Genomic DNA, 27,090 nt, shown 5'->3' on the forward strand with positions numbered 1-27,090 from the left:
GTGCCCAGAGTAGCAGCTCAGGGACCATTCTGCCATTATATTTATATTCACTTTTAATTATAGGCAAATTAAGGGGGAAGTTATTCAGAAAGTTCTAGAAAAGAGGTGATAACTTCCAGGTCATTGCCATGGAAAGGGGTAGTTAGTAACTTCCAGGTGTTGCCATGGCAGTGGTCAACTGACATGGCCCTGGTGGGCATGTCTTCTGGAGAGGTGCTTTCACCTCTTTCCCCCATTGCAGCGAGTCTTCAGTCTGGTTTGGCATTCAAGTCCTGCCCAGCCCCAGTCAAGCCTGCCTCATACCTTAATAAGAATCTATAAATATTTTAGAGTATTTCTTTTCTTTTCTTTTCTTTTTTTTTTTTTTTTTGAGTTGGAGTTTCGCTCTTGTCACCCAGGCTGGAGTTCAGTGGTGGCATGATCTTGGCTCACTGCAACCTCTGCCTTTCGTGTTCAAGCGATTCTCCTGCCTCAGCCTCCCGAGTAGCTGGGACTACAGGTGCGCGCCACCACACCTGGCTACTTTTTGTACTTTTTTTAAAAATAGAAATGGGGTTTCACCATGTTGGCCAGGCTGGTCTCGAAATCCTAACCTCAGGTGATCCTCCCGCCTTGGCCTCCCAAAGTGCTGGGATTACAGGCATGAGCCACCACACCTGGCCATTTTAGAGTATTAAATCTTTCTCTCCATCAATCAAAATAGTAGTAGCTTTTAAAGCTGCCTACTTTAATGGTCAGTATTATTTTATTTACCAGAACTTTTTCATAATCAAGAATTCAAAGCTCTCTAAAATAAGGGCTAGCAAGTTAATATACATTTATTGAACCTGCGAGGCGGTTGAACCTGTGAGGCGGAGGCTGCAGTGAGCGTAGATCACACACTGCACTCCTGCACTCCAGCCTGGGTGACAGAGCAAGATTCCATCTCAAAAAAAAAAAAGAAAGAAAAAAGAAGCTTCTCCAACCTCTGCTTATCACCATGCCCACCACAAGCTGGAAGTTATCCTTCCATCCTCAGCGGCTGCATAGCACTTCTTATACTCTCCATTTCTTTTGTGTTGCTTAGCATTTCCTACCTTATATGGCAGTTATTTTCTCATTCAGTAACATGTTTATGAAGCACTTAACCATGTTTCAGGCACTGTGCCACATTGAAACATGGAATTCCCTCCTAAGAGAGTTCCAAAAACCCTACGAAAGGAGGAAAGACACATTTTGGTTGAGGCTTGAAGGCTGTTTTCCAGATAGTCAGTTGGGCAAGAGCCTTCCAAACTAGACACGCCCTGAGCAAAGACTCAAAGTCTGGGAGCCAAGTGCCTGCCACGTCTGGGAACACAGAAGTATCCTCTCTTCCTAAACTATGAGCTCATTGAATGCAGGCTCCATTTCCAGTTCAGCCTGAGATCAGTAGCAGTGACTGGTACCCTGGTTCTGGGACAGCAGTGACTTGAAAACAGATAGGATTCAAACACATTTGCTAAATCCACTGTATTCATTTGTCATCACAATGAAATTTCCAAAGCGTTAGTCCATTAACTATAGATCATGTCTGTTTTTCAAAAGCTGCATGAAAATGTGTCTTTTTTTTTTTTTTAATGATGGAGTCTCGCTCTGTCGCCCAACCTGGAGTGCAGTGGTGTGAACTCAGCTCACTGCAACCTCCACCTCCCGGGTTCAAGCTATTCTCCTGCCTCAGCCTCAAGAGCGGCTGGGATTACAGGCACGCACCACCATACCTGACTAATTTTTGTATTTTTAGTAGAGACAGCGTTTCACCATGTTGGCCAGGCTGGTCTCAAACTCCTGACCTCAGGTGATCCAACCTTCTGTGCCTCCCAAAGTGCTGGGATTACAGGCGTCAGCCACCGCACCCAGCCAAAATGTGTCTTTCCTTCTGTCCAGTGATAGGAATGGAATGGACAATGCATTTTATTCAGGAACACCCATCAACCGCCCACACCTCCTCTGCTCCTGTCCCTTGTCACCCACTGCCTTTCATTCTCAGTTGGTATAAACTCAGGAAACAGAAGGTAGTATTAACTTAAGCAAAAACTGTTTTCTTAAAAAGGGAAATGGGGGAAGGTGCAGATTATCTTCTAAAGGTAAAACAAACCCTTCATAAAACAGAACACACAGGCTGGGCGTAGTGGCTCCCGCCTGTAATTCCAGCACTTTGGGAGGCTGAGGCAGGCAGATCCCCTGAGGTCAGGAGTTCGAGACCAGCCTGGCCAACATGGTGAAACCCCGTCTCTACTAAAAATACAAAATTAGCCGGGCATGGTGGCGCATGCCTATAGTCCCAGCTACCCGGGAGGCTGAGGCAGGAGAATCGCTGGAACCCAGGAGGCGGAGATTGCAGTGAGCTGAGATCATGCTACTGCACTCCAGCCTGGGCGACAGAGCAAGACTCTGTCTCAAAAAAAAAAAAAAAAAAAAAAGAACACATAGGCAAGCCCTGGCCACGGTTTATTGGTCCAGTCTGCACCCTTGATGCAAACTAAGCATCCCTAAATAAACAAAATGCATATATAATATGGAGCCAAAGGTAACTAATCTTTCTAACAGCTATTGTTTTGCCTTAACCCCCACCTCTACTATCTACTAAGTATAGATAATTGGAGAAAGTACAGTCGTTTCTGTATGCCCCTGAAATCTGAAAGAAAAAAACCTGAATTTAGTGGTAGTTCAGACTTAGGCCCTTCTGGCCAAATGAAGTAGCTGTCCAGCTAATTCAAGCCACATGTCCCTCTTGGTCTTTATATAACTGTTGGGCCTCTTGAGTTTGTTTCTTTGATGAGTATACTCTGCTATCTTTAACCCTGGAAAGTTTTCCCATGGAAAATTTAATTTTATCTTTCCTTTTTTATGAGAAATTGTATTCTCAAGCTGGCAGACAAGAAGAAAAGACAATCTGGAAATTCCAGATTTGATCTAAATGTCAGCAAAGCCAAACTAATAATTATGGCCACATATCAAGGCAATTTATGCAGAATATATGGATCACTTGAGCATATTAGATTGTGTTCATTATATTCTTTTTCATTTTTGTTCTCTTTCTTTTTTTTTTTTTTTTTGAGACAAAGTCTTGCTCTGTCGCCCAGGCTGGAGTGCAGTGGCACGATCTCGGCTCGCTGCAGTCTCGCCTCCCGGGATCAAGCGATTCTTGTGCCTCAGCTTTCTGAGTAGCTGGGATTACAGGTTGTGCCACCATGCCTGGCTAATTTTTATATATTTTGTAGAGATGAGGTTTCACCATGTTGGCCTGTTGGCCAGGCTGGTCTCGAACTCCTGACCTCAAGCGATCCACCTGCCTTGGCCTCCCAAAGTGCTAGGATTACAGGCGTGAGCCACTGTGCCTGGCCATGTGTTCATTATATTCTTCTGGACTCTACTCTGAGGGCTTGGTCTGCTTTTATCAAAAATTTTTACTTTGAGCATGTAGAAAAGAAATCACCACCTATGTTTTTAGAAGGGCCACATCTGGGTATACAGGTAGCAGTTTGAGTACCCATACAGGCATTCTGTTTTTGACTTCAGTACACTATTTAATAAATTACCTGAGATATTCAACCCTTTATTGTAAAATAGGCTTGGTGTTAGAAGGTTTTGCCCAACCGTGGACTAATGTAAGTGTTCTGAACACGTTTACGTTAGCCTAGGCTAAGCCACGAGGTTCAATAGATTAGGTGTATTAAATGCATATTTGACTATTACAATATTTTCAACTTATAATAGGTTTATGGGACGAAACCCCATTATAAGTCAAGGAGCATCTGCATAAATTAGAGAAAAACAAACATAAAGACACTAAGTTACTGGTTTACAGGTACTAATATAGACAGCACATGTTATTCCCAGGCTGTTTTCTGATTTTAAGCTGTTGTTACTTCTCTAAAGCAACTTTGCTTTCTGCTCTGTCTTTTTTTCATGTACTGCCAAAGCTCAGATCTTTCCAGGTCATCAAAGGAATGACATACAGGGACCACAGGAGGGTGGGAGGAGTGGAGAATCATGAAACCATCAGAAATCATCGACGAAACCATGAGATCTGAGTTTTTTGACCTTTCCCCTGGTCTTTGTATCTTGGGATAAGGGTGTTTGGAGCTTTGCCTCTGAAGAAAACGGATCCAAATGGGCCCCACAATTCCTTCATATTTGTGGGACTGTCTTTTTATTTTGACTGTATTTAAGTACCGTTAGTACTTTCATGGAAATCTGAAATTCCAGTAGTGTTCTGTTTTCCCCAAATTGACTTTTTAAAAATTATTAATAAACATATATTTAAAATATTATACAGCACTTCACTGTGGTATTATTAACAATTCTGTGTTCTTGGAAAGGCCCCCAGAAACTTTGTTTTTATTGACAGAAGTCTCAAAATTCTAAGAAGTGGAGCCGGGTGCAGTGGCTCACGCCTGTAATCCCAGCACTTTGGGAGGCCAAGGCAGGAGGATCACTTAAGCCCAGGAGTTTGAAACCAGCCTGGGCAATGTGGTGAGACCCCATCTCTACAAAAAAAAAATTTTTTTAATTCCAATAAATGATAAAAATAAGAGAATGGAGACAAAAGTCATAAATTCAATTCAGTTACACTCACATTATACAGGATGATCATCTTTTAGTTTTATGTGCACCTTTTTACTTGACTATAGTTGTCTTCTAATAAAAGTGTGCTATAAATATGAATGTAAAATTTGCAAGTTATTATGGAAATTAACAAATTTGGAAAGGTGTCAGTTTCACTAAGTTATTGATCAATGTACATCTTGCATAAAATAGAAAGAAATTAGTTTTGACATTGAAAATATAAACACACTCTGTCTGGGCGTGGTGGCTCACGCCTGTAATCCCAACACTTTGGGAGGCCAAGGCAGGCGGATCACGAGGTCAGGAGATCGAGACCATCCTGGCTAACATGGTAAAACCCCATCTCTACTAAAAATACAAAAAACTAGCCGGGCATGGTGGCAGGCGCCTGTAGTCCCAGCTACTCAGGAGGCTGAGGCAGGAGAATGGCGTGAACCTGGGAGGCGGAGCTTGCAGTGAGCCGAGATCACGCCACTGCACTCCGGCCTGGGCAACAGAGCAAGACTCCGTCTCAAAAAAAAAAAATATATATATATATATATATGTATAAACACACCCTACAGTATGAATTTGTGAAGGAAGACCATCTGATTTATGTGTATAAAACATTAGGTCTGTTCTAAAACTGGTAGTTCTTTCTTTTAATCACTCCCTCCTATTATGCTATATGAGAGGCTTATCATGTTCATGTTTTATGTTCCATATTACACAAGGCCATTTGGGATTCTTTGTCTTTGGAAAAATTGATAAAGAGTATTTTATTAAAATATTCAGTTGTCACTTTGGGAGGCCAAGGTGGGAGGCTCTCTTGAGCCCAGGAGTTCGAGACCAGCTTGGGCAACATAGTGAGACCAAAAAAAAAAAAAGTTCCATTGTAAAGCATTGTTAGTCTCTATAGTTGTAGCATGAAGATGTAAGTGTACTTGTGATTGAAATGGCTTTGTGATTTTGAAACTGCTTTTAGTTTTTGAGACAGGGTCTCTGTCTCCCAGCTAGAGTGCAGTGGTGCCATCATAGCTCACTGCAGCTCAATCTCCCGGGATCAAGCAATCCTCCCACCTCAGCCTCCCAGCTCCCAGGTAGCTGAGACCACAGGCACATAACCACCACACCCGGCTAATTTTTTTACTTTTAGTAGAGACAGGATCTCACTATGTTGCCTGTGCTGATCTCTAACTCCTGAGCTCAAGTGGCCCTTCCACCTCAGCCTCCCAAAGTACTGGGATTACTTTACTTTACTGGGATGAGCTACTGCACTGGGCCTAACCTGCTTTTAAAGTGTATGATTGGAGACCTATAAGTTGTCACTGCTACCTAGAGATCATTAATGGTAAGCCGGGTGGTTATTGGGCCAGGATAGTTCAGAGATGGGCAGTTAAAGAGAATCTAACTGACAAACAAAAGGGAGTGTGTGTTTGTGTCCATGAAGGACAGTTCGAGGAGGGGCTCATAAAGGAAGGATGAGGGAGAGGAAATACCCATGAACAGTGCCACGGCATGTCAGCTGTTTCATTTTGTGGCTTTATGTACAATCTTCACAAATATGTAAAGACAGGTGGCTCACAACAGTACTACCACTAAGCTAGCTCTGTGGAAGAAACATCTTAACAAAAATTGTTCTGTGAGCAACATAATCCACCTGTTCCAAGAGACTGTCAGGTGATATTTTTTTCATTTTTTTGGTCTCCCACTTTTTTTTTTTTCAGTTTGAGAGCAGGTACTGTTTATTAACTGACCAGCTTAGAAAAATAATCATGGTAGACACCTTAGTTCATTCTTCTAATAAGCCTGTTGATCTGGTCCTCCCTGTTGCCAGCATCTCCACCTTCTACAAAATGGGTGGTCTTTTTCTTCATTCTGCCTCGTGGAGAAGATAATTTGAAGGGCCACAGGAAGTTATTTGCTTCTTTGAAGTGTTTTCCAATGGTATAGATCTCATGAATCAGATCCTCCCTGCAGATGATGCCATATTTACCGAGAGATTGAGCCATCAAAGCCTCATCTGTCAAAGCAATTCGCTTCTTACTGATTTTGCCATAACCACACTTATGGATTAGTTCATTTACTGACTTCAGAATTGGGTACCCCCATGCAGTGTATGGCTCTACAATCCTCAGCATGTTAACTGAAGCCTTGTTGAGCTTCACAAAGGTTCTGTTGAAGATTTGACGAAGGGAAGAAGCTGCAACACCTTTCAGACCTTTGGGCTCACACCATTGATACCTCTGATCCTGATGACAAACGCCAATTTGGGTTCTGCAGGTACATAGAAGTTGCCAGCTTTTCTTGCCATCCTCGCCATTTGAATTTCAGTTCTGTACATCTGCCTATATTCCTTGTGATAGTGCTTCGCTTTTTCATAGATAAGCTTCTTCCTTGCCTTTCAAAGCATCTTTTGGACAAACTTCTTTCTCAGGTGCTTGATCTTCAGCTCTGCGAAATTCCTTCGCTTTTTCTTAAGCATTTCTGGCACAGCAGGAACCTTCTTCTTCTCTTCTACACCTTCCATGGTTCCAGCCAGAAAAAGAGTGGTCTCTGCTTGTTAAAAATGGGTAAGAACACTAATAGGTTGTCTGACCTGTACTTAAAGTTGGAGATCAATGTCGTCTATATACATTCCCCCCATGCTTAAAGCCCTTCAGCTTCTCCTTTTAGGATAAAGATACCTGCAAATCACCCAGACCGTCCTGAGGAGAGCTGGTCACTTCCACCTTTGCACCCCAGCATCCCTCATGCATGTGATGTGTGGTTCATATCACACTTCATCTACAATTACTTCTTTGTGCATTTGTCACCTCCACTAGATTATGAGCTTCTTAAAAAACAGAACGTATGCCTGTTTCCTCATCAAGTACCCCATTCCCAGCAAGGTAGCCCTTGGTAAATGTTTGTTTAGTAGACTGACAAAGCAGCCTTAGTTATTCAATTCACTTTTAATCCAACTATTAAGAGTTAGATTCTACTCAAACCAAATTCTCTACTACCTCTATTGTTGGGTTTGAAAATCTTTTTTTTTTTTTTTTTTTTTTTGGAGGCAGAGTCTCACTCTATCCCCCAGGCAGGAGTGCAGTGGCACGATCTGGGATCACTGCAACCTCCGCCTCCCGAGTTCAAGTGATTCTCCTGCCTCAGCCTCCTGAGTAGCTGGGATTACAGGTGTGTGCCACCATGCCTGGCTAATTTTTGTATTTTTAGTAGAGACAGGGTTTCACCATGTTGGCCAGGCTGGTCTCGAACTCCTGACCTCAGGTGATCCGCCAGCCTCGGCCTCCCAAAGTGCTGGGATTACAGGCGTGAGCCACCGCGCCCAGCTGGGTTTGAAAATCTTAGAGTTTAGGTAGGGTGCAGTGGCTCACGCCTGTAATCCCAACACTTTGGGAGGCCGAGGTGGGTGAATCATTTGAGGCCAGGGGTTTGAGACCAGTCTGGCCAACATAGTGAAACCCCTTCTCTACTAAAAATTCAAAAAAATTAGCCAGGCGTGGTGGCAGGCACCTGTAATCCCAGCTACTGGGAGGCTGAGGCAGGAGAAATCACTTGAACCCAGGAGGTAGAGGTTGCAGTGAGCTGAGATCACGCCACTGCACTCCAGCCTGGGCGACTGAGCGATACTAAAAAAAAAAACACACACACACAAAAAAAACTGGAAGTGTTGGCCAGGCGTGGTGGCTCACGCCTGTAATCCCAGCACTTTGGGAGGCTGAGGCAGGCATAACACCTGAGGTCGGGAGTTCAAGACTAGCCTGACCAACATGGAGAAACCCTGTCTCTACTAAAAATACAAAAAATTAGCTGGGCGTGGTGGTGCACTCCTGTAATCCCAGCTACTCGGGAGGCTGAGGCGGGAGAATCACTTGAACCCGGGAGGTGAAGGTTGCGGTGAGCCGAGATCACACCATCGCACTCCAGCCTGGGCAACAAGAGCAAAACTCCATCTCAACACCCCCCACCAAAAAAAAAAAAAAAAAAAAGAACTTGGAAGTGTTTTCCCTTTCATAATAAAATCTAAAGTAATAAAGCGATTAGTATTTCAAGAAGTAACATTTAATGAAAACAAATTTTGATGTACATTAGTATAGAACTATATTAAATAGAGTATACTTATATATAGTATATGTATCCAAAAAAATCACAAACCTTCCACACACTGCATATTGGTTTCATTATTTTATAGCTACAGTTCATATATTTAAAAATAGAGGAGGCAGCTGTTCCCAGGACAGCTGAAATTAACTTAGAGTAAGGGATTTGCAGTACAGTAGCTTTTTAAAAAGTCTTTGTGCCAATTTAAAAAAAGTATATAATTGAATATCTGCTCTCAAAATTAATCTTAATAGACCTTAAATGCAGCATTTTTCGGCGTTGTGCTGTGTTCTTGCAACAGAAGTGAACTTTTGTACTCTGAATATGGGCATTTAAAATCATAGATGTGCAGCTTTTCTTTCTTTTTTTTTTTTTTTGAAATGGAGTCTCCCTCTGTCACCAGGCTGAAGTACAGTGGCGTGATCTCGGCTCACTGCAACCTCTGCCTCCTGGGTTCAAGCGATTCTCCTGCCTCAGCCTTCTAAGTAGCTGGGACAACAGGCGTGTGCACCATGCCGAGCTAATTTTTGTATTTTTAGTAGAGATGGGATTTCACCCTGTTGGCCAGGATGGTCTTGATCTCCTGACCTCGTGATCCACCCACCTCGGCCTCCCAAAGTACTGTGATTACAGGCGTGAGCCACTGCGCCCAGCCTCATTTTTTTAAGTTGTAAACCATTGTTACAATGACTCCAATAGAACGTACTTTTTCATTATTCCCAGTCTGAGGCGCTAAGATACTTAAGTGACTCATTTCATCAACGTAACAAAGTTGTTTTTTAAAAAAGCATTTGTGTATGGATCACTGCTCCTTAACTAAGGTTAAGTCTGTCTCCCTTCAGGCTCCTAGGCCAGGATACCTCCATTCAGTTCTCAACTTCACTTTCCTGTCCATGTGGCTTTGTGCAAGTTACATGACATCAGAATCCTGTAGGTCCTGGAAGCTTTTAGATGTATGATTCTACATTGTAGAAATAAAATGAAACTAACTGTTAGGATAAAACATACTATAAAAGAATTTGTTATTAAGAAAAGCCTTCTTTTGAGAAGGACCAGAAATATTCTGATAATTTACAAGTAAACATCTCTTATTTGGTGTCTTTGTTGAATTCTCCATGTGCAGATCCAACCATATAGCTTGTGTTCATTCTGCAGAGGCACGAATGCAGTCTGCAGGCTATGGCTGCAGTTTCTCAAGACTGTCACTGGTAAATGGTAGGGAAGAGAACCCTGTCATGTCTTACCCATCTCAGTCAGGTTCCTGGGCAGGTACTGTTAGTTCAGAGGCTCTTCCTAGCCCTCGTTCTTGGCACCGCCTACACAAGGTTTGCCCATCTGGGAGCGATCCTTTTGTATCTCTAGACTGATCTAACTCAGATTGTAAAGGATACAAAATCTGCCCTCCGCCCGTGCCCCCTCTCCTGTGGGCTCTGCTGTCCCACAGAGCCTGTTCTCCCACAGTTGCCCACTGGGATTGAGAAGTAGTGGATCACTCGATGGGCACCCAAGGCTGCAGGCTCTGATCTGATCCTTTCCTTCTCATCCAGTCTAGACAACCTGGTACATTACCTCTGCCATGAGAGTCTAACTTTAAAATGAAATCACCCTGAGGGGTCGTGTTTTTCAATCTCTAGTCTCCAGAAGACAGGTCACAACCCTATCTCAGAACAACTTGAGCCCTAGACGGAGAGTCAAGATCTGGGTACATGTACCCCCCTACTGCAACCAGTGAGTACGCAGGAAAAATGAACCAGGCAAGAGGCCAGTTTCTAGAAGCAGGGCACAGAGTCACAACAAAACCAGCATCCAGGGTGACTTAATTGTCAAAGCACAAGACATCTTATATTCCCATAGGATCAAGACTGGTTCCAGAGGTGCTGTAGGAGCTCAGTCAACTGCTAAAAGTCACTGGGGGATGGAACAAGGGGTTGTGGAGATAAAAACTGAGCCAGATATTGCACCACTTCCCAATACTTCTGTCGTATTTATTCTAGCCGGAGGCCCACAGGCTGCGCTACATATGAGTCAAGGTAGCCCAGACCTTCCTTTAATTTGGCTAATGACTTTTTTTTTTTTTTTTTGAGATGGAATCTCACTCTTGTCACCCAGGCTGGAGTGCAGTGGCGCAATCTCGGCTCACTGCAACCTCTGCCTCCCAGGTTCAAGCGATTCTCCTGCCTCAGCCTCCTGAGTAGCTGGGATTACAGGTGCCCACCACCACGCCAGGCTAATTTTTGTATTTTTGGTAGAGACGGGGTTTCGCCATGTTGGTCAGGCTGGTCTTGAACTCCTGACCTCAGGTGATCTTCTGCCTCGGCCTCCCAAAGTGCTGGGATTATAGGCGTGAGCCACCGTGACTGGCCATGACTTTTTTTTTTTAAGTCCAAATATAGCATAAAAGATTTCCCTGAAGAAGGCTTTAGAATCAAGGAGATATGTGATTCAATAATGTCTTTACCATTGACTGGCCATTTAATATTGAATTTAAACAGCCTTTCTGATTTCCTGCCGTATTTTTGTTAAAGAGATATTTCAGTACAGTCCCAGTAATATGGTTGTCATAATTAAGATTAATTTCAACACATAGGAAAGAATGTTTATTCCCAAATTTGTCTACAGATTGGAATCACCTAGGGAAGGTCCAAAAATACAGATGCCTATGTTGCTACCTCCTCCACCCACAAGAGTATTTCTGTGACACAGCCTAGTCGTCTTTGGAATTTTTGGCCTCCCAAAGTGCTGGGATTACAGGCGTGAGCCACCACACCCAGCTAATTTTTGTATTTTTAGTAGAGACAGTGTTTCACCATGTTGGCCAGGCTGGTCTTGAACTCCTGACCTCAGGTGATCCACCCAGCCCAGCCACCCAAAGTGCTGGGACTACATACAGGTGTGAGCCTCCGCGCCCAGCCTTCTCTCTGTTTTTTCTTGGGACATCTGAAGACAGTGTCAGGCTGTGATTCCACTTGTGGCCAGACATAAGAGAATATAGAAAGTTCTCCTGTCATGTGCTGTAATCTCCCACAGAATGAGAAGAGACGGAGGCAAAGATAAGTGACTTTGCAAGGGGCAGCTCACGGAGATCCAGTGAAGGGAACATCTAATCAGTTTGATTTCGAGTCCACTGTACGGTAAAGCACCTGAATGCTAATTGAAAAGTAACCTTGGAAACAAGAGCCCGGTATTGTGCTCTTGCTGGGGCCGATATGGGAATAAGCCAGGACATACAAAGGATTAGACCAAGATGGAGTTTCAACTGGTCCTGAGTTCCCTTATTTTTTGGCTTTTATTTTCAACTTTGTAGCATTAAATGCTTTGTCTCGCGTTCCTGGGCCAGCCATCTGAATGTATCAAAGTTCCAAAAAGTTGAATATGTGGCTTTTTAGTTTCAGTGTCCTTTAATGGCTCTTGGAGAGAGAGTCTCTGAATTCTGAGAGCTAGGGAACCATCTAAATCATTTTAAGATTTAGAAGCCAGCATCATCTTCCCTTTACACAAAATAGGACTATAAAGCTGCAGTGTTTCAGATGTTGGGGGAAGGGGCTGTCCCTTCACCGGCTGTATGAGTTATGATGTGCTTATGAGTAAAAGTAATACTTCGTGGTTCTCAGTGTCTGAGGACTAGAATACTGTTTGATGTCCAAAGCTTATATTATACTCTCTTTCTGATTCAGAGCAAATTCTCAAATTTTATCCCAGTAACATAGAAAACATTTCAAATACTGGTGAGAAAAATGGTCAGTCTCAGGAACTGTGAAATCATTTTCTACTTGACCTAAGAAACCTGATGGAATTAGGCTGCTCTTTCTTAGAAACAAAGACTATTGCAAATTAAATCTTCAGGAGATGAGCCCTCCAGCCTGCAGGGTTTCTAAAACATGCATTCTGAATAAGACAATTATATTTTATTTTCAGGGTAATTCTACACTTAATAGGAATTATATAAGTGCTTTGAAAATAGCGTGTTGTGTTGTTTTGTTTTGTTTTGCTTTGAGACAGGGTCTCACTCTCTGTTTTCCAGGCTGGGGTACAGTGGCGTGATCTCAACTCACTGCAACCTCTGCCTCCCAGGCTTAGGTGATCCTCCCACCTCAGCCTCCGCAGTAGCTGGGACTACAGGCATGCATCACCATGCTCAGCTAATTTTTTGTATTTTTTGTAGAGACAGGGTCTCACTTTGTTGCCCAGGCTGGTTTCAAACTCCTGGCTCAAGTGATCCAAGCGATCTACCCTTCTCGGCTTCCCAAAGTGCTAGGATTACAGGCATGAGCCACCATGCCCGAGCCAGCATGTTTTGTTTTGTTTTGTTTTTAACTGAAAACTACTACAGATTAAGAATCGCTGATTTTGATACTGCATAATACTAAATTGTTTATGACAATAAGGATATTCTGTTTTCATTAATATTTGGCACTTACGTAATGTTTTACCTTTCATATTTGATATTGAAAATTGATGAGTCCAAGCCACATTTCCATTACTCGCAATTTTTTAAGCTTCGTGACTATTTAATTTGTTTATAGTTCCCTATTATAGGTATACAGTTCTACTTGAGGGTTCAAAAGTAAAACAGGGCCGGGCACAGTGGCTTACACCTGTAATCCCAGCACTTTGGGAGGCTGAGGCGGGTGGATAATCTTGAGGTCAGGAGTTCGAGACCAGCCTGACCAACATGGCAAAACCCTGTGTCTACTAAAGATATAAAAATTAGCTGGGCTTGGTGGTGCATGTTTTTAATCCCAGCTACTCAACAGGCTGAGGCAGGAGAATTGCTTGAACCTGGGAGACTGATGTTGTAGGGAGCCGAGATCATGCCACTGCACTCCAGCCTGGGCAACAGAACAAGACTCCATCTCAAAATTAAATAAAAGTAAAACAGTATATAGGCCAAGTTTGTGGTATATGTGTGTTTCTATCCTACCAGTTTTAAGTTCTGTGAAAATATCACAGATATACAATATTTTGGATATTTTCCAAAATATTAAAACTGGTACTTTGGGAGGCCAGGGCAGGAGGATTACTTAAAGCCAGGAGTTCAAGACCAGCCTGGGCAACATAGTGAGACCTCATCTCTCAAAAAAAAAAAAAATTAAAAATTAGCCAGTTAGAGTGGCACATGCCTGTTGTCCCAGCTATTCAGGAGGCTAAGCCAGGAGAATCGCTTGCGCCCAGGAGTTTGGGGCTGCAGTGAGCTATGTTCACGCCACTGCACACAGCCTGGGCAGTAGAGTGAGACCCTGTCTCCTTAAAAAAAAGCAAAACTGAACTAAAGCAAGTCTCTCTCTTGTCTATCACGTCTTATTGCCATTTGAATTTGTTAGGCTTTCATACTGAAAACAAAGGTTGTGCTTTACATAGCAGTGAAAATAAGAATAACCATAGCTCTTGGATCAGGAAGAATCTAATTTTCAGTTGGTTCACTAACAGCCAACATTTGATGAAAAGTCATGTGGATCCTGGACCCTCATTACCTTCGGGTTTGACAAGCATCCCGGTCACATATGCTCCTTGTTTGGGGGTCAGTTTGCAGCAGGCATATTTGGAAAATCAGGTCCAGAGAGTTTCTGTATCTCTCTCTTTCACTGCTTAAAAAGGTTCGGAAACATCCAATCACCACTGAATATTTTTACCCTTCCCCACACCCCATTGGTGGTCACAGTTTCCAGTGTCTCAAAAGAGCTAATCGTTTTATCAATTGGATCACTTTTTTCTTGTGATTCTAAATTGGCCAAGGCCCAGTGTCATTTAGATCCTGAGCCTTGGACCTGGACTTGGGAGTATGGCTCGTTTGCCTCTGATTTGGCAGCAGGGCTCATTGCCGCACAGATCCTACTGATGGGGCCACACAGCTAAGTCATGTTCCACTTTCCCAAGCTGGAGCTGCCATGGTTCAGATCCTCCCAAACAGACCCATGATGCACAGGTGTGCCCTCTGGGAGCCTTTGCTCAGGCTTCAACCCCACTCTCTCATTGGCAGCAGGTTTCGACTCTCTCGGGCAAAATCCCAGCAAGGGCGCAGTCTCAATGCAATGCAATGCCCTGTCTTCTGTCTTCTCAGGGTCCTGTAGCATCCACAGTATCAGCGTTTTCTGTCCTCTCCTCTGGGCCTGGCCTTCCTCCACCCCCTCCTCCTCTGCCTCCTCCAGGGCCACCTCCACTTTTCGAGAATGAAGGCAAAAAAGAGGAATCTTCTCCTTCACGCTCAGCTTTATTTGCCCAACTTAACCAGGGAGAAGCAATTACAAAAGGTGAGAGAGAAAAGAAGACCTTGAAGCTGCCTCCCTTTCCCTCTGGCTCCCAGACACAAAAGAGCCGCTGGAGCCCCAGTGATGGATACATCACTCCATCCCTGCCTCCAGCATGCAGGGAGAGGGGGAACTGGTGCTGGGAAGACAGGAGCCTGCCATGTTCCTTATGTCCATGCAGACGGGCTCAGGGGGTCACTGTGTAGACCAGAAAGAAGTATTCAGAGACTCTGGGTTCTAAATGGACCACTGTGCTGCATCCTTGCTTTAGACCCCAGTACTTCCACATCATTGTCCACAACCAAGGCATCAAGATCAAGTGAAATAAAAATAAAAATGGCAGGCTGGGCATGGTGGCTCACACCTGTAATCACAGCACTTTGGGAGGCCAAGGCAGGCCTATTGCTTGAGCCCAGGAGTTCAAGACCAGCCTGGGCAACATAGTGAGACCCCATCTTTACCAAAAATAAACAGAAATTAGCTGGGCATTGTGGCACACACCTGCAGTTCTAGCTACTAAGGAATCTGAGGTGGGAGGATCGCTTGAGCCCAGGAGGTGGGGGCTGCGGTGAGCTGAGATCGCACCACTGCACTCCAGCCTGGGTGACAGAGTGAGACCTTGTCTCTAAATAAATAAAAGTGGCAAACATTAGCTCCTCTGTCCTGAAGCAGTGTACAGGCTTGTCAAAGAATTATATCCCACTATACTGGGCTTGGAGCTAAGAATCCAAAATTCTAAATTTTTCTCTGGCTCCAACTGGTTCTGCTGTGCCTTGTGAAACTCATTTGCAAAGTAAAGGAATGGATTCGTAAAGTCAATTCCATATCCTGATATATACTCACTGGAATGCCCTAACCTTTTAGGCTGTGTCTGGAGAATGATTTAGCCGTAAGAGAAGAAGTAAGACATGATCCTTTTTCGTGAGGTGGTTTGCTCTTTGCAGAATTTTTATCTATCATTTTATCTCCCAACAGAAGAGGTTCCTCAAATTAAAAAAAAAAAAAAAAATACTTGGCTGGTGCAGTGGCTCACGCCTGTAATCCCAGCACTTTGGGAGGCCAAGGAGGGTGGATCACCTGAGGTCAGGAGTTCAAAGACCAGCGTGGCCAACATGGTGAAACCCCATCTCTACTAAAAATACAAAAATTAGCTAAGCGTGTGGTGGTGCATGCCTGTAATCCCAGCTACTTGGGAGGCTGAGGCAGGAGAATCGCTTGAACCCAGGAGGCAGAGGTTGCAGTGAGCCGAGATCACGCCACTGCACTCCAGCCTAGGTGACAGAGCGAGACTCCATTTAAAAAACAACAACAACAACAACAACTTACAGTGCTTCTGTCAACTCTCAACTTGTACAGGACTCAGCTCCTGCATCCTGACTTGGAGAAAGCACTAGACTGTTTTGAAAGTGGCCTTACCAAAAGTTCTTGTGCTCTTTATTTACATCATGTTGATCTAGCAAGTTAGAGACATTTCCCTTTGCATAAAATAAATGTGTCCATGTGTGTTGTCCTCCTAGGGCTCCGCCATGTCACAGATGACCAGAAGACATACAAAAATCCCAGCCTGCGGGCTCAAGGAGGGCAAACTCAATCTCCCACCAAAAGTCACACTCCAAGTCCCACATCTCCTAAATCTTATCCTTCTCAAAAACATGCCCCAGTGTTGGAGTTGGAAGGAAAGAAATGGAGAGTGGTAAGTGAAGCATTTTAACCTTTATTTTCCTGACATGCGCCAATGAAAGGACCAACAGCCAAACCATTTACCAAGATCTGAAGGATTTCTTTTTTTTAATTTTTGTATTGGTACATAACATTTGTATATATTTATGGGGTACCTGTGATATTTTGTTACATGCGTAGAATGTGTAATGATCGGCACTTTGGGGGTTTGAGGTGGGAGGATCACCTGAGGTCAGGAGTTCGAGACCAGCCTGGCCAACATGGTGAAACCCTATCTCTACTAAAAATACAAAAATTAGCCGGGCATGGTGGCACGTGCCTGTAATCCCAGCTACTTGAGAGGCTGAGACAGGAGAATCACTTGAACCCGAGAGGTGGAGGTTGCAGCGAGCCGAGATCACGCCACTGCACTCCAGCCTGGGTGACAGAGTGAGACTCTGTCTCAAAAAAAAAGAATGGGTAATGATCAAGTCAGGATATTTAGGGTGTCCATTACCTTGAGTATTTATCATTTCTATGTGATGGAAGCATTTCAAGGCCTCTTTTCTAGCTATTTTGAAATATTTAAGACAGTGTTGTTAACTATATTTACCCTACTCTGCTGTCGAATTAGAATTTATTCCTTCTGACTATATGTTCGTACCCATTAACCACCAAGGTGAAGTGACAGAGGCAAAAACCACTGGCTAGAGTAGAAACCAGGGTGTTTCTGAATGCTTCCATAAACTTTATTTTCACAGGTTCTCATGCATTCTTTTCTTCAACTTTTTAAATTATTTTGTGAGTGGTGGTAAAATAGACGTAGCATAAAATGGACTGTTCACCATGTTTAACTGTCCAGCTCAGTGGCATTAAGTCTGTTCATATGGTTGTGCTGCCATCACCACCACCCACTACAGAACTCTTTTCATCTTGCAGAACCAAAAATCTGTACCCTTAACCAATAGCTCCCTGTTTCTCCCCCTGCACCCCTCCCAGCCCCTGGCAATTACCATTCTACTTTCTGTCTCTATGAATTTAGCTATTCTTTCTATAAGCTTTTAATCAGGCAGCAAGACAGACCGTTAATATATGGAACTGGGAAGTCTGTGCCCCACTCTGATGTGCTGTGAGATGTTTCGTTCAGTCCCATGGATGGAGGGATTGATACCTCTGTACCCTACTGCTGCCACCCCCCACTGCCCGGGCTAAGTGTGTGAGCAGGACATAGACACTTCAAATGGTAATGAAAGCTGGTGTCTCCTGCTGATCTGGAGGGCTTCCCTAAAGATGAAGGACCAAAGTCCCTGGAGAGTTGTCATCGCCTTGAAAACACAAGGGCTTAGACCACTGCTGTGACCCTTCACCAGCCTGTTTGCCCAACTCCTGTTTGACACAGCAGGTTTTGCTGCATCATCAAGTCCAGACTTGGCATCAAGGCCTCAACAAAAAGCTCTCACATCCCTGCTCCAGCCTCCCACCTGCTAGGGTGCCTGATACCTGATGTTTACAAAGAGATACTGACTTGCTTCCAAGAAGTGGTTCCGTTTTTCCCATCCTAACAATGACAGAGTAAGACCTGTGGTTTCATCTATAAGGAGATGGTTCCAAAAGAATATATTGCAAAGCCATACTTCATGCTGAGCTCGTACTAATTTCAGTGTGCAGTGGTTTCTGTTTATATATGCTGATGTTTAATATTTGTATTTGTCTTAATTCTAGGAGTACCAAGAGGACAGGAATGACCTTGTGATTTCAGAGACTGAGCTGAAACAAGTGGCTTACATTTTCAAATGCGAAAAATCAACTATTCAGATAAAAGGGAAAGTAAACTCCATTATAATTGGTAGGGCAGAATTATGGCTCTATGGTTATTATGATGTTTTATAAACAAGCTGTATGTATTTAGTGGAGTTGGTTTTTTGTTGTGTTTTTTCTCCCCACAGACAACTGTAAAAAACTCGGCCTGGTGTTTGACAATGTGGTGGGCATTGTGGAAGTGATCAACTCCCAGGACATTCAAATCCAGGTAAGCAGAGCCTTTCCAACCATGCTGTAATAAGCAGAGCCTTTCCAACCACGCTGTAATAAGCAGAGCCTTTCCAACCACGCTGTAGTAAGCAGCCTTTCCAACCACGCTGTAATAAGCAGCCTTTCCAACCACACTGTAAGCTGCGGCCTTGCACAGACCATCCACTCTGCCTCCAAGAAGCAGCCTTGCAGCCAGTCGCGGTGGCTCACGCCCGTAACCCTAGCACTTTGGGAGGCCGAGGTGGGCGGATCACGAGGTCAGGAGATTGAGACCATCCTGGCTAACACAGTGAAACCCTGTCTCTACTAAAAATACGAAAACAAAATTAGCTGGGCATGGTGGCAGGCGCCTGTAGTCCCAGCTACTCTGGAGGCTGAGGCGGGAGAATGGCGTGAACCCAGGAGGTGGAGCTTGCAGTGAGCGAGCCAAGATCGCGCCACTGCACTCCAGCCTGGGCGACAGAGCAAGACTCCATCTCAAAAAAAAAAAAAAAAAAAAAAGAAGGAGCCTTGCTCCCCCATGGCCACCTAAAATACTCCTATTCTTGTTCCCTCTGGACACAGCTCTATCATCACCTCCTTGGTAGACCCCTCTCTTACTTCTCAGTGTTAGTTCTTTCTTTTCAATCTCTTCTAACAGATCCCATTTTGTGTTTCCATTACTGGCATACCATCTCAATTTCAAGTACAGCTAACTGGCCAGGCATGGTGGCTCACGCCTGTAATCCCAACACTTTGGGAGGCCAAGGCGGGTGGATCACCTGAGGTCAGGAGTTTGAGACCAGCCTAGCTAACATGGTGAAACCCTGTCTATATTGAAAACACAAAAATTAGCCGGGTGGGGTGGTGGGTGCCTGTAATCCCAGCTACTTGGGAGGCTGAGACAGGAGAATCACTTGAACCTGGGAGGCAGAGGTTGCAGTGAACTGAGATTGTGCCACTGCACTCCAGCCTGGGCAACAGAGAGAGACTCTGTCTCAAAAAAAAAAAAAGAAAAGAAAAAAAGGACAGCTATGTAATCTTTATAGCCCCAGAAACTTGCACAGTACCTGCACATAGTAGGCGTCCAGTAAATGTTTGATGGGTATATGATTTGAGTGAATCAACTAATGCATAAATAAAAGTACTGTGAGACTCTCCTAGTATGATTAGCCCCATTCCAAAGAGAACTTTTTTCTCAGGAAAAATTGGTCCTAGATCATGAAGAGGAAAAGTTTTTCTAAAGAATCAGTGAGATCATCAGAAAAACAACTTGAGAAGTAGGGTTGGAGTTGAATTTGCAAAACAGAAGAAAATCTGTGAATTAAAATATATAATAATTTTGATTTAGCCACATGGAATTTTATGATATGCCAAAATCTAAAGGACTTCTTGGTTTTGGCCAATTATAACTTCTATCTTTTTTTTTTTTTGAGACAGAGTCTCGCTCTGTGGCCCAGGCTGGAGTGCAGTGGCCCAGGCCAGGCGCAATCTCGGCACACTACAACCTGCACCTCCCAGGTTCAAGTGATTCTCATATGCCTCAGCCCCCTGAGTAGCTGGGATTACAGGTGACCACCACCATGGCCCAGCTAATTTTTTGAATATTTAATAGAGACAGGGTTTCGCCATATTGGGCAGGCTGGTCTCAAACTCCTGACCTCAAGTGGTCCACCTGCCTCGGCCTCCCAAAGTGCTGGGATTACAGTCATGAGCCACAGCACCCAGCCCCAGTTTAGTATTTCTGATCACTACATTTATCCATTTAATAACACTGCTTTCTCTCCAAACTATTACGCATGCAAATTTTAAGGAGGTTGCTCATCTTCAGAAAAAGCCCGGTACTTCAAGGATGATCATGGTTCATAGAAACCTAATGAGACCACACTTTCTGAAGAGCTATTTTGGATGGTGGGAGTTCCTATGTAAAGAAACATGCTTTTTCCCACTTTACATTATTTTTAATTTTAAAAAACTAGAAGTAACAGCAGTGAAGTAATATTTGATGGCAGAGGTGAGGGTACATGTTTAGCCATAGTCATGCAATCATAGTGTGTCACAGTTGAAAAGTATCTTGGAAAGAATGCAACCTAACACACATACCACAAACACACCTTAATTTTAGAGAGTTTATTTCAAGCTCCCTTTCATTCGTACAGAAATTAAGCTTAGGTAGCAATGGTGAAACCATATATAAGCAGTTAGCATTTTTTTTAATGTAAATACATCACATCTGAAATACACAACCAAGTAAATTAAGTATAAAATGTGAAAATGGGAAGTTCTAAATATTCATCATGTTTTTGGAGGGAGAAAAAAATCTTAAACCAAGAAGAAACAGAGGAAATTTTCAAACAGATAGGCAGATATGTCTACCTAAAAATTTAAAACTTCTGAATTCCATTCAGTGGAATACTGTGTAACCATTTTTTTTGTATTATACTTTAAGTTCTAGGGTACATGTGCACAATGTGCAGGTTTGTTACATATGTATACATGTGCCATGTTGGTGTGCTGCACCCATTAACTAGTCATTTACATTAGGTATATCTCCTAATGCTATCCCTCCCCCTCCCCCAACCTCACAACAGTCCCCAGAGTGTGATGTTCCCCTTCCTGTGTCCAAATGTTCTCATTGTTCAATACCTATGAGTGAGAACATGCGGTGTTTGGTTTTTTGTCCTTGCGATAGTTTGCTGAGAATGATGGTTTCCAGCTTCATCCATGTCCCTACAAAGGACATGAACTCATCCTTTTTTATGGCTGTATAGTATTCCATGGTGTGTATGTGCCACATTTTCTTAATCCAGTCTATCATTGTTGGACATTTGGGTTGGTTCCAAGTCTTTGCTATTGCGAATAGTGCCGCAATAAACATATGTGTGCATGTGTCTTTATAGCAGCATGATTTATAATCCTTTGGGTATATACCCAGTAATGGGATGGCAGGGTCAAATGGTATTTCTAGTTATAGATCCTTGAGGAATCACCACGCTGTCTTCCACAATGGTTGAACTAGTTTACAGTCCCACCAACAGTGTAAAAGTGTTCCTATTTCTCCACATCCTCTCCAGCACCTGTTGTTTCCTGACTTTTTAATGACCGCCATGCTAACTGGTATGAGATTGTATCTCACTGTGGTTTTGATTTGCATTTCTCTGATGGCCAGTGATGATGATGCATTTTTTCATGTGTCTGTTGGCTGCATAAATGTCCTCATTTGAGAAGTGTCTGTTCATATCCTTTGCCCACTTTTTGATGGGGTTGTTTGTTTTTTTCTTGTAAATTTGTTTGAGTTCTTTGTAGATTCTGGATATTAGCCCTTTGTCAGATGAGTAGATTGCAAAAATTTTCTCCCGTTCTGTAGGTTGCCTGTTCGCTCTGATGGTAGTTTCTTTTGCTGTGCAGAAGCTCTTTAGTTTAATTAGATCCCATTTGTCAATTTTGGCTTTTGTTGCCATTGCTTTTGGTGTTTTAGACATGAAGTCCTCGCCCATGCCTATGTCCTGAATGATATAAAAACTCTCAATAAATTAGGTATTGATGGGACGTATCTCAAAATAATAAGAGCTGTTTATGACAAACCCACAGGCAATATCATATTGAATGGGCAAAAACTGGAAGCACTCCCTTCGAAAACTGGCACAAGACAGGGATGCCCTTTCTCACTACTCCTATTCAACATAGTGTTGGAAGTTCTGGCCAGGGGAGTCAGGCAGGAGAAGGAAATAAAGGGTATTCAATTAGGAAAAGAGGAAGTCAAATTGTCCCTGTTTGCAGATGACATGATTGTATATCTAGGAAACCCCATCGTCTCAGCCCAAAATCTCTTTAAGCTGATAGGCAACTTCAGCAAAGTCTCAGGATACAAAATCAATGTGCAAAAATCACAAGCATTCTTATACACCAATAACAGACAAACAGAGAGCCAAATCATGAGTGAACTCCCATTCACAATTGCTTCAAAGAGAATAAAATACCTAGGAATCCAACTTACAAAGGATGTGAAGGACCTCTTCAAGGAGAACTATAAGCCACTGTAACCATTTTTTAAAGTGATCTATAAATACATTTATTGTACTTTATTAGGAGAAAATAACAGTCTTATACCATTATGTAGAGCATGATTTCATTCTTCTAAATGTACTCATGTAAACACATATATATGCACACATAGATCTATAGATATATCTATATCTGATAATCCTAGGTAAGTCAGAAGAGATATACTACATTTCATAACTGAATTGAGTGTCTGTGGAACTCCTATAGCAGAAATCACACTTCATTTGAAACTTCAAAATTCCCATTAAAATTCTGCAGCAATGAAGACGCATAGAAAAAAAAAGAAAGAAAAAGAAAATAAAGTCAGAAACAAGAAGAGAATTCCTCCTGTCATTGCTTCTTGTTCAATAATGCATTGAAAGTTCTAACTGACCGGGCACGGTGGCTCACGCCTGTAATCCCAGCATTTTGGGAGGCCAAGGTGGGCAAATCACGAGGTCCGGAGATTGAGACCATCCTGGCTAACACAGTGAAACCCTGTCTCTACTAAAAATACAAAAAATAAACCAGGCGTGGTGGCGGGTGCCCATAGTCCCAGCTACTCAGGAGGCTGAGGCAGGAGAATGGCATGAACCCGGGAGGCAGAGCTTGCAGTGAGCTGAGATCGCGCCACTGCACTTCAGCCTGGGCAACAGAGTGAGACTCTGTCTCAAAAAAAAAAAAAAAAGTTCTAACCTATGCAGTAAGATAATGATTGAGAGAGATAAAACTGGAAAAGGAAGAGACAAAAATGCCCTTATTTCCCAACAAAATAAGTGCCTTTATATAAAACCCAAGAGATTCAAGAAACTATAAAACTAAAAAAACATTCAGCAAGATGGTAGGGTATAATATGAACATGCAAAAATCAATAGCATTTCTTTCTACCACAAATAAGTTTTAGAAAATGCAATAGAGGCCGAGCGTGGTGGCTCATGCCTGTAATCCCAGCACTTAGGGAGGCTGAGGCGGGCAGATCATGAGGTCAGGAGATTGAGATCATCTTGGCTAACACGGTGAAACCCCATTTCTACTAAAAAATACAAAAAAATAGCTCGTCATGGTGCAGGCGCCTGTAGTCTCAGCTACTCAGGAGGCTGAGGCCGGAGAATCGCTTGAACCTGGGAGGCGGAGGTTGCAGTGAGCCAAGATCCCGCCACTGCACTCCAGCCTGGCAACAGAGCTAGATTCTGTCTCAAAAAAAAAAAGAAAGAAAGAAAGAAAAGAAAAGAAAATGCAATAGAAAATAAGGTTGAAACAGCTATTTTGTTGCTAGGTGCAACAAAACTGTGAGGTACCTAGCAAAAAAAGCAAACAGAAATGGGAGATAGTTACAAAGAATGCAAGAGTGATGTTGTAAGTAAATGGACAGGAAGACATCATTATCAGTGGTCTCAGCTATTTAATGTGAGTTTAATGAAATTCACCTCAAAATCTCAACAGAGTTTTAAATGAAAAATGGTCTTAAAATTCATTTGGAAAACAAATGGACAAGAATAGCTAAACAGTGTGAAAGATGAATAAGGTGAAGGGACTTGCATGCCTGATATTGACTCATTGTAAAGTGCTATATTGTTAGTGATATACAAAAACAGATAAATGAAGCAGACTAGCGAGCCCTGAAATCAATAGATGCATAGATGGAAATTTGTATTTTAGGACAATTGATTATCCATGTGGGAAAAAAATACACTGAATTCTACCTCACATCATACATAAAAGTAAAATGCTAATTGTGAAAAATAAATACTTTTAAACTTTGATAATAACATGTAGAAGAAAAATTTTATGCCTCAGAGTAGGAAATAAATTAATTAGGGTCAAAAAGCACAAACCATAAAGAAAGTACTGGTCATTTTAACTACATTAAAATTTAAATTATATGTTTAACAGAAGACATCATATGAAGCTGAAAGACAAGCCATGGACTGAAGAAAGATATTTGCAAGGCAGATAATAGAAAAGGATTTGTATCTAGAATTTATAAAGAACTTAAATCAATAAGAAAAAGGCTGCTGGGCGCGGTGGCTCACGCCTGTAATCCCAGAACTTTGGGAGGCCAAGGTGGGTGGATCACCTGAAGTCGGGAGTTCGAGACCAGCCTGACCAACATGGAGAAGTCCCGTCTCTACTGAAAATACAAAATTAGCCGGGCATGGTGACGCATGCCTATAATTCCAGATACTCAGGAGGCTGAAGCAGGAGAATTGCTTGAACCCAGCAGGCAGAGGTTGTGGTGAGCCAAGAATCGTGCCATTGTACTCCAGCCTGGGCAACAAGAGCGAAACTCCATCTTCAAAAAAAAAGAAAGAAAGAAAGAAAAAGGCTAACAATCTGATAGAAAAATGGGCACAGAATATTAAGGCAATTCAGACAAAAAAGAAAGTGGTTGATAAATATATGAAAATATGTATAACCTACCTAACTAGTAGAAGTATAGATGCCAGTTAATACCACAATTAGTGATGTCTTCTCACACTCACCCATTCTGCATTCAGACTGTCCTTACTTTGCGTGGTGCTAGGTTAACTGAATCTTATGCCTACAGGAACTACAATTTGAGGATTGCCTATATACTAAAGTCTGATGCTATAGGATTGCTAAGGAAGTGAAACAATGAGAACCCTGATACATCAGTGTTGGGGGAGTAAATCTGTGACATTCACTGCAATGCAAATTGGCAGCATCTAAGAAAGTCACATTCATAGTCTGTGACTGAGTAATTTCACTCTTAGTGTATACACTAAAGAAGCCCCAGCACGTGTGCCAAGGAGACAAATGTAAAAATGTTTATTGCAATATCATTCATAATGGCAATAAAAACAATTTAAATGTCCACCAGTTGGTAAGTTAATAAATAAATCCTCCCAATAGGATACTAGTTGGTAGTTTAACTCGTATAGCAGCTAAAATGAACCAGCCGGGTGCAGTGGCTCACACCTGTAATCCCAGCACTTTGGGAGGCCAAGGCAGGTGGATCACCTGAGGTCAGGAGTTCGAGACAGAGGTGGAGGTTGCAGTGAGCTGAGATGGCGCCATTGCACTCTAGCCTGAGTGACAGAGCAAGACTCTATCTCAAAATAAATAAATAAATAAATAAATTTAGAAAAGACATCTAGAAATTACCAAAACATTACTGCAGACACATTATTAAATATACATATATGTGCTGTATTATTATTTGTAGTAGAGCCCTATGTGTACCTGACCTTGAACTACCCCTGCCTTTTTTTTTTTTTTTTTTTTTTTTTTTGCACTGGGGCTCAATTCCAACTCAGTGTTCAGTTTCTATGGAGAGAGAGGAGGAAACAGAGAACTAGAGTGACCTGGCCAGACTCCCCACAAGGAATTCTTTACATCACTCGCACCATCAATAAAAGTTGCTCTTGGTTTGCAATCCAGCCTTTTCTCCACGGTGAAAGAAGAGATGTCTTTATCGCTTTAATTACCATGACAAGAAGGAAAATTATAGAGTTGTAATATGGTCTTTGGGGGAACAGTCCGCCCTTATGGAGATTTTGGGGGTATGTCTGAAAACTGATTGTTAGAAGAGAAATTTAAAACCGATCAGAATTTTTATAGCACTTCGATATTTATAAACAATACAAAGAATCGCCTCCTCTTTTGTATGATCCTACTTATCTATATAATGAGTGTCCTGAGCCAAGCCCCCAGTTTTGTCTCCTGAAATGAATACATTTCAAAATACCTAGACATTCATCTCATGTAAGCCTCAAATTCAGCCACTGAGATTTTTATCTAGCAAAGGACTTATGTGAAAAGAATGGTAGTGTTTCTTATTTAAGTTCAGGAAAAATCTACTCAGTTTTTACTCAAGAATAGTTTTACTTGTAAGTGACAACATTAGAACTTGTTTTAATCCTAGTTTCATAGAGATTTGTCAAAAGTAAAATTTCAAGCAAATGAATATGAATGCATCTTGTTTCTTTTATCATGAAATCAAATACATGTTTTGAATCTACTAACAGGGTTGTGAGGCTTTTTCTGAACATCTAGCTGCTGTTTCCAAATTAATCTCTTAATTTTGTCTCAGGAAAGAGACACTGAGGTTTGAGAATCCACTTGTGTGGTCTTTTCATTCTGTCCCTGAGTGACACCTATCCTATTCTGCCTGAAGACTTTGCCATTAACTCACCTCCCCAGCTTTGACCCAGTGAATTCTAATGCTTGGTTAAGCCCAAGCTAAAGCCAAGAGGAATTGAGATTGTATTTATTCGAGGGCATTGTTATTTCTGTTTCTTTGCTTTGGTCCCAGGTATTTTTTCCTATTTCAGGTAATGGGGAGAGTGCCAACAATTTCCATTAATAAGACAGAAGGTTGCCACATATACCTCAGTGAAGATGCATTAGACTGTGAGATCGTGAGCGCCAAGTCATCTGAAATGAACATACTTATCCCTCAGGATGGTGATTATGTAAGTACCTTTCAAAAGGCTGTCAA

At 42.4% G+C, this 27,090-nt stretch overlaps 1 protein-coding gene and 1 pseudogene across 3 annotated transcripts in view; one reads left to right on the forward strand and one right to left on the reverse strand.

Moving 5' to 3' along the window:
• The window catches only part of CAP2 (cyclase associated actin cytoskeleton regulatory protein 2), a 164,186-nt gene that overhangs the window by 130,946 nt on the left and 6,150 nt on the right, over positions 1 to 27,090 (forward strand). For all 3 annotated transcript variants that reach the window (NM_006366.3, NM_001363533.2, NM_001363534.2), the window contains 5 exons: positions 14,729 to 14,918; positions 16,433 to 16,608; positions 18,297 to 18,420; positions 18,521 to 18,603; positions 26,924 to 27,064. In NM_006366.3, the coding sequence (NP_006357.1) occupies positions 14,729 to 14,918; positions 16,433 to 16,608; positions 18,297 to 18,420; positions 18,521 to 18,603; positions 26,924 to 27,064 (714 nt within the window). The remainder of the gene's footprint in view (positions 1 to 14,728; positions 14,919 to 16,432; positions 16,609 to 18,296; positions 18,421 to 18,520; positions 18,604 to 26,923; positions 27,065 to 27,090) is intronic.
• On the reverse strand, positions 6,288 to 6,917 carry RPL7P26 (ribosomal protein L7 pseudogene 26; annotated as a pseudogene).

The sequence above is a fragment of the Homo sapiens genome, chromosome 6, assembly GCF_000001405.40.
Source record: "Homo sapiens chromosome 6, GRCh38.p14 Primary Assembly".
Taxonomy (NCBI): domain Eukaryota; kingdom Metazoa; phylum Chordata; class Mammalia; order Primates; family Hominidae; genus Homo; species Homo sapiens.